General features: G+C 49.0%; 1 protein-coding gene across 3 annotated transcripts in view; it reads left to right on the top strand.

The window, feature by feature from the left end:
- PTCH1 (patched 1) overlaps positions 6,223-6,896 on the top strand; it is a 73,992-nt gene continuing 73,318 nt past the window's right edge. For 2 of the 3 annotated variants that reach the window (NM_001083602.3, NM_001354919.2), the window contains exon 1: positions 6,223-6,725. In NM_001083602.3, the coding sequence (NP_001077071.1) occupies positions 6,723-6,725 (3 nt within the window). In that variant the 5' untranslated portion in view covers positions 6,223-6,722. The remainder of the gene's footprint in view (positions 6,726-6,896) is intronic. The other variant, NM_001083603.3, reaches the window with a different exon arrangement.

Genomic DNA, 6,896 nt, shown 5'->3' with positions numbered 1-6,896 from the left:
TGGTTGGGGGTTGGGGGAAATTCTGCTGGGTGCCTAAAGCCATTTTCTTAGACCACCAACATTCTTAGAAAATGTGTCAGCTAGTGTCTGTTTTGTGGAGGTGTAGACAGGTCTCTGAGAGGGGGTGGGTCAGGTCCTCTCAGCACTGGATGCCAGGAAGGACCCAGCTCCAGTCTACCCGGAGCCCCCCTCCAAACACAGAGCCGAGAAATGAACTTGCCTTTCAGATGCAAGCCAGATCTTTTCAACCTTTGGTTGCTGTTGTGGGCTGAACTGTGTGCCCTCAAAATCCTTCTGTTGAAGTCTTAACTGCTAGTGCCTCAGAATGTGACTGTATTTGGAGACTGGGTCTTTAAAGAGGTAATTAAGCTAACATGAGGTCATTAAGTTGGATCCTAATCCAATATGACCAGTGTCCTTGTAAGAAGAGGACATTTGAGGGCTGAGTGTGGGGTCTAATGCCGGTAATCCCAGAATTTTGGGAGGCCAAGGTAAGAGGATCGCTTAAGGCTAGAAGTTTGAGATCGGCCTAGGCACCATGGCCAGACCTCATCTATATGAAAAATTTAAAACATTAGCTAGGTGTGGTGTCACATGCCTATAGTCCCAGCTACTCACAAGGCTGAGGCAGGAGGTTCACTTGAGCCCAGGAGTTCAAGGCTTCAGTGAGCTATGATCGTGCCATTGCACTCCAGCCTGGGCAACCAAGTGAGACCCTAACTCAAAAAAGAAAAAAAAAAAAGAAAAGAAATTTCAACACAGACACCCATAGAAGATCAAGCGAGGGCACAAGGAGAGAGGCCTCAGGAGGACCCAACCCTGCCGACACCTTATTCTTAGATTTCCAGCCTCCAGAACTGTGAGGAAAATTCAGTATCTGCGTGTAAGCCTCCTAGTCTGTGGGATTTTGCTATGGCAGCCCCAGCAAACTCACACAGGTAGAGAAGAAGGCACTGAGCCTGGGATATGGATGGCAGGGCAGGGCCAGCCCAGACCCAAGCTCCCACCTCCCACACTACAAGAAACCGGCCTCAGTCAACAGCTGGTAACACATCCTTTCCACCTCACAAACACAAGGAATGCCACTGTCTGGATATATGTGAGAAGGGTCTTCAGAACCACCCGCAGATGGCTGGCTGGGTGTCCCCCAGGGCACAGCCTAATGAAAGGACTGTTGGAGGCTCAGCTTCTCCCACATGGCTCAAACTTGCTCCCTTTTTAGGAGTCTGCTTTACACAACTTCTTTCACAAATGGAGTGGATATAAACTTTGACTCACCCCTCCAAATTTTCAATCACGTGACATAATTCAGTTCTGCACCTTCTGCCACCAATCTCAATGGAAACAAGTGATGAATGCTTAGTTGCAACAATGCAGAATGTGTAAGCAGCAACTTTCATCAGATGGAGGCTGTCATTCATATTCACGACATTTAATCTCTTTATTCAGGGCCTCTTAGGTCCAGGTAGAACCTCATGATAAATTTTGGGAACCTACTTGATCGCAGTGGGCTATGTCTCCCGGCACTGACCCATCACCCTCACCACCAGCCACCCTGGCCACACCTGCCTCCCACAGTTGACCAGGCCCCTTGGCATTTCGTTTTCTCAGCACATTCTTCGTTAACAAGGCTGCCCCTGCAGGTCTTCTACATATGGGAAGGTCATCACTGGATGAATAGGAGTCAGTTTGTATGTGTACCTCTGTTGGAGGAAGAGCAACTTGAGTAAGTGTTGTTTTTTGAGGTGAGAGTTCCACAGGTATCTATCTCTCTGTTTCTTCTTGTCCTGAAATTATCATCTGATTTTTCGAACACCTCCAACTGCCTTCCTACTCCTCAGCAATGGGGTCCGACAAAGCCTATATTCCATAGTATTCCAGGTTTCACTCCACCCACTCTGTTTCCAAGCTGTATGTTCTGGTGTTTCTATTCATACAACATCATCGCCTTTTCTGTTTTGCAATCCTATTTTCTTTCTTTTTGTTGTTTGTATTTAAACAATTCCTTTGTTTCAACTCAAGTTATCTTCAATTGTTCATTGGGTCTAATTCGATGTTGTAACAAACACCTTTAAATATTTCTTACCTCTCCAGTCCCCAAAGCCCTAATTCTGAGAGTTGATTTGGCTTGTGAATATCCTCCCACAAGGAAGAGGCCAGGATAGGGAGTGAGGGGGGGCAGTCATTTTAGAATTGAAATCCCCACATTGAGCAAGAGTACTTTTATGAAAGCTTGTGAGGATCTGTCTGATCCAGAATCAAAGACTGACCACGCCTAAGGTGTGGCCAGTGTGGTATGGCCACTGACCATGTGCAAGAGCAGCATTCATCTTGAGGTGGAGAGCTCCTTAAATGTGGGCAACTGTTTCTTCTGAACCCTCAGTTACTCATTTGAAAGCCTTCCAATTGCTGGAGGTTACCGTGAGGGAGGAGATGAATGGAAACTCTTAGGCACCCATTTTTATTGGGAGCCAGAGAAGAGGGGAGCTTAAAATGAAGAATGTGTGAACACATGTATGCATGTGCAAGTGTGTGTATAAGTGTGTATGTTGATGGTACAAGAGTAACACTGGGCCAGGCACAGTGGCTCAGACCTGTGATTCCAGCACTTTGGAAGGCCAAGGTGGGCGGATCACAAGGTCAGGAGATCAAGACCATCCTGGCCAACATGGTGAAACCTCATCTCTACTAAAAATACAAAAATTAGCTGGTGTGGCGGTGTGTGCCTGTAATCCCAGTTACTCGAGAGGATGAGAATTGCTTGAACCCGGGAGGTGAAGGTTGCAGTGAGCCAAGATTGTGCCACTGCACTCCAGCCTGGTGACAGAGTGAGACTCCATCTCAAAAAACAAAAACAAAAACAAAGAGTAACACTGTATCTCCAGTAGCAACAATATTCAGAAAGACAACCTCGCCTATGCATACTCATTGTGGTCTGTTTTCAGTCGGTTTCAGGCCTGTTTCAAAAGTCCTATTGTCCTGTCTTCCAATGCCCCCTAAATCTCCATCTGGCCCTGCCCTGAAATCTTCAGCTTTGGAATTATTCTTCTGTGTATGGCTCCAAAAGTCCAAGTTAACCAGCAAAAGTATTGTCTAGTAGCCTCATCAGCCATTAACACCTGGATGCCAATTGGCTTATCAGACTGGGAAGACTTGGAGCTGAGCGGTGTTGTCTGGTAGCCTTGTGTGCCATTAACACCTCCATGCCAATTGACTTAGATTGGGCAGCACTGGAGCTGGTTTTTGGGAAGTGGGGAGACATAAGCAACTTTAGAAGTGTGGAGGCAGCTGTTTGATGAGAGAGGGCCCACCCTGGTGGGAGTCTCAGAGAAGCACTAGAAGGTAACACATAAGGGTGTTGAGTCCCTGACCCCCAACCAGAACCTATATCATTGACTTAATGCTTCTAGCATCTGAGAGTGGAGAGAAGAGAGGCACAGCACTGACATAATCTGCGAAGATTGATTTCAAAGGAAGGAAAAGAAAGACAGGTTGCTTTTGGGAGACGTTACATGGAAAATGTTTATTTAGAAACAGAATGCTTGTTCCCTGGTGCTGCAAAGAAACAGCACTCGAAGAAACAGCACTCGAACATAAATTTAATTCTCTCAGCAAGGCCATTATTACTTTCTGCAGAAAGGGTGCTCATCAGAGATGAAACAATGTGACAGCACACCTGAACAAAGGAGGGAAGCAATTTTTATCCCTTACATAGTTTGTTCCTGAGACTGTGTCCTGTCTCCATTGGCTGGAGCCAGACCTCACAATCTAAACTAAAACCAGATTGGCTAACAGTTTAAAACTTTTCTAAATAGGTAAAAGTAATGAAAAGACAAAGGAAAACAGGAAGTTGCTTGTGCCATACAGGGAAGGGCCATAGGCTGCCAGCTGGAACTTGCCTGTGAGCATGTCCAGCATAAATATCTTGGTTAAGGTACAAGGACATAGAATGTACTATGTGCCTGTGAGCATGTTTAACAGCTACATACGATAGGGCTTAACAAAGAGTTATTAGCACAAAGCAAGGAGGCTTGAAGGAAGTTAGTTTTTAAAAGAAACTATTATTTTTAACACTTATGATTTATTCTTTAACAAGAAGGGAAGGGGAAACTTTGAAGAGGAACTTTTTACATTCTACAAGAGAGAACATTTCCAGGGGCTTCCCTCCTTCCTATACTTGTACGTTTTAACACCAGATTTTCTACTCCCTGCCTCATTATGCCACTCCTGCCCAACTCTAAGTACTTACACTCTTGTACAAAACAAACTTGTCTTTGCTCCCAATTGTAAAGCCTTGGACTAAGATAAGACTCATATGAACACATTCAGTCCTAACTAAGGGACAGCGTAGACCACCAGGACCACAAAGACTGGGTAGTTCTGTCGTCCTCCTGTCTGCACACTCAAGAAAGGCGATTTCCTAGAAGCCCAGGTAGCTTTAGGGCTCCTCCCTGCCCAGGCCACTTCAAGGCCCTGTACTTAATTTTGTGTTTGCAGTTTTGAGTTGCTAAAGAAGCTCCCCACTCCCCGTTCACTCTGAAAGCTGCCTAAGTCCTAGGCCACACAAAACTAGTGTCCACTCTTGAGTATCAGCCTTGGCCACAACTCAGCAGGAGCATGTAGCCAAGTGTGCTTCCATGAGGGTCTTCATTTTAACTAGAAAAAGCAAACTCCTCAAGTTCTGCTGTAATTTTCCTAGCAACTGTATATTGTGGGCCATTTAAATGCCCTTTGTCGGCTGTTTCTCTTTTTTCTTATCCCCCTTTCTCCCTCATATTCTAGACCCCTCTATTTGGAGATTATGTATACCTTCCTGTTCATAACCCCACTCACATTTATAGATAAACAGGGCCCTTTGATATGACACCAAAAGACAGGGGGAAGTGTTTCGAAGGGAAATGTTGGGTTTTTTGTTGTTGTTGTTACAACTATTGTGACTTTTAGAATCCATGGTCAGCCAATATGCATTTGAGTCCATTTTTGACTGAAGTCACTGGTATGAAAATGACCTTCTGGACCAGCCAAATTCACAGGGCTGCCCCCCTTCTAATGCTTAATTACTTAACGTGTCTCAAACACATACATTCTGGAAACTCAAATGACTCTGCTCAAGAATGGCTACGTCATCTTTGTGGGAGGGAGATCCCAAAACTCCTAGGATGATTATTATTATTTAATAACACATGGGGCACCTCTTCTACCCCCGCCCCGCCCCCCCCGCCCCCAACACACACACACACCTAATCACACTGTCAGCCCAGAATGAAGTGAGAAGAGTCTGGCTTTATTTCAAGACCAGCTAGTCAGCTCTTCAGAGCTGCAGTAAATGTTCTCACTCCCTCTACCCTGCCCTTGTATCTGTAATTCATCTTTATTCATAATGTGGCCCATTTAAAGTCGCAGTGTGTGAAACACCGTCTACCAGCGGCGGGGTTGAGCAGATAAAATGTCAGACATTGTAGCGGGGGCGCTCCCGAATAGAACGCTTCAGTCTTGAGCGAGAGCAGGGTTATCCGCGCGACCCACCAGCTCCTAGGTTTAGGCCAGTCACCCAAGGCCGCCTGGCACAGGACGGCACAGTAGGTGGGAGCATTTGGGTGGCATACCCCAGAAACCACAGGAATCAGAAGAGAAAGGGAGCAAATGTCAATCCGTGATTCTTCGGACCAGGTACAAATCTTGGTTTCCAAGGGACGCCACCTTGGTCTCTTTCAGAAGAAACGGCTTCCGAGGGACCGACACGAATCCGCACACATCTCGTGCTGAAATTTCCCCGGGAAGGCGCTGTGATCTGTCCGGTTTTCCTGCTCCCCGCCCCTCTGGCGGCCCGTAGGCCTGTCATCTAGAAGGCTCCCAGCTTTTCCGCGCTTCCGTGGGAATGCGAGAAGGAAAGGCTTTGAGAATGCAAGCATGAAAGGTGGTGTTCTTCTGCAGTCCTCTGGGAACCCCCCACTTCCCGGACCGCTGAGGATGCTAAAAGGAGCTTCCTTGCTTCCCCACACCTCCCCCGACCGGCGTTGGGACAAGATGGCCAAATGTTAGCAAATAATGTGTGCGGGGGCGGGGGAGCCGAGCACAAGGTGGAGAAGCCGCGGGAGCGCGCGGAGACCCCCAGCCCGGCGGCCCCCCGCAAACACGGCCGCGGGGGGCGGGGAGAGGGTGGCTAGGCTCGCGGGAGCTCGCCGGGCAGGGCGCCTCCCAGGAAGGCGGGGAGGGGAGCGCCTGTTTACCCAGGAGGGCTGTGCTGATAGCACGTTCCTCGAGTTTACTTTGCTTTCCTTGAGTTTATTGTAAAGGGGTAAAGTTTTCGGATCCGTCACGTGACCCTGACAGGTCCTGCCTATGGCGCGGCAGACCACCCACGCCGAGGGCCATGGAACTGCTTAATAGAAACAGGCTTGTAATTGTGAGTCCGCGCTGCACTCCGCCGAAAGCCTCCGGCGGCCCAGCGCGCCGGGGTTTTTACACTTTCCGTTCCTTTTGTAAAGACGGAGGAGGAGGAGAAGAAGAAGAAGAAAACGGAGGAGAAGAAAAAGACGACAGGGGAGACAAAGAGACCCGCAGCGACAAGGCAAGGGGGAGACGAGGGAAGACTGGGAGAAGACGGAGGAGCGGAGGACGAGGAAAGGGGGGCCAGGGAAAAAAAAGGAATTGATGTGAAATCCAAGCCCAGCGTCCGCGCCATCGGCACCCGCGCTCCGAGCAGGGGTTGACGGCCGGCTATGGTGAGTGCAGCCAGCGCGGCGGCCGCCGACGCCACCTCGCCTCGCGCGCCGTGCTCCTCGGGCGGCGCGGGGACACGGGGACGCGGGACGCCCCGCGCGGCGGACGGAGGAGCGAGCCCCGAGCGCCGGGCAGGAGGGGCGGGCCGCGCGCCGGGGCCGTGGAGCCGGGTG

Source organism: Homo sapiens, chromosome 9 (assembly GCF_000001405.40).
Source record: "Homo sapiens chromosome 9, GRCh38.p14 Primary Assembly".
Lineage (NCBI taxonomy): Eukaryota > Metazoa > Chordata > Mammalia > Primates > Hominidae > Homo > Homo sapiens.
The sequence above is the reverse complement of the archived record's forward strand: the minus strand, read 5'-3'. Positions and strand labels throughout refer to the sequence as shown.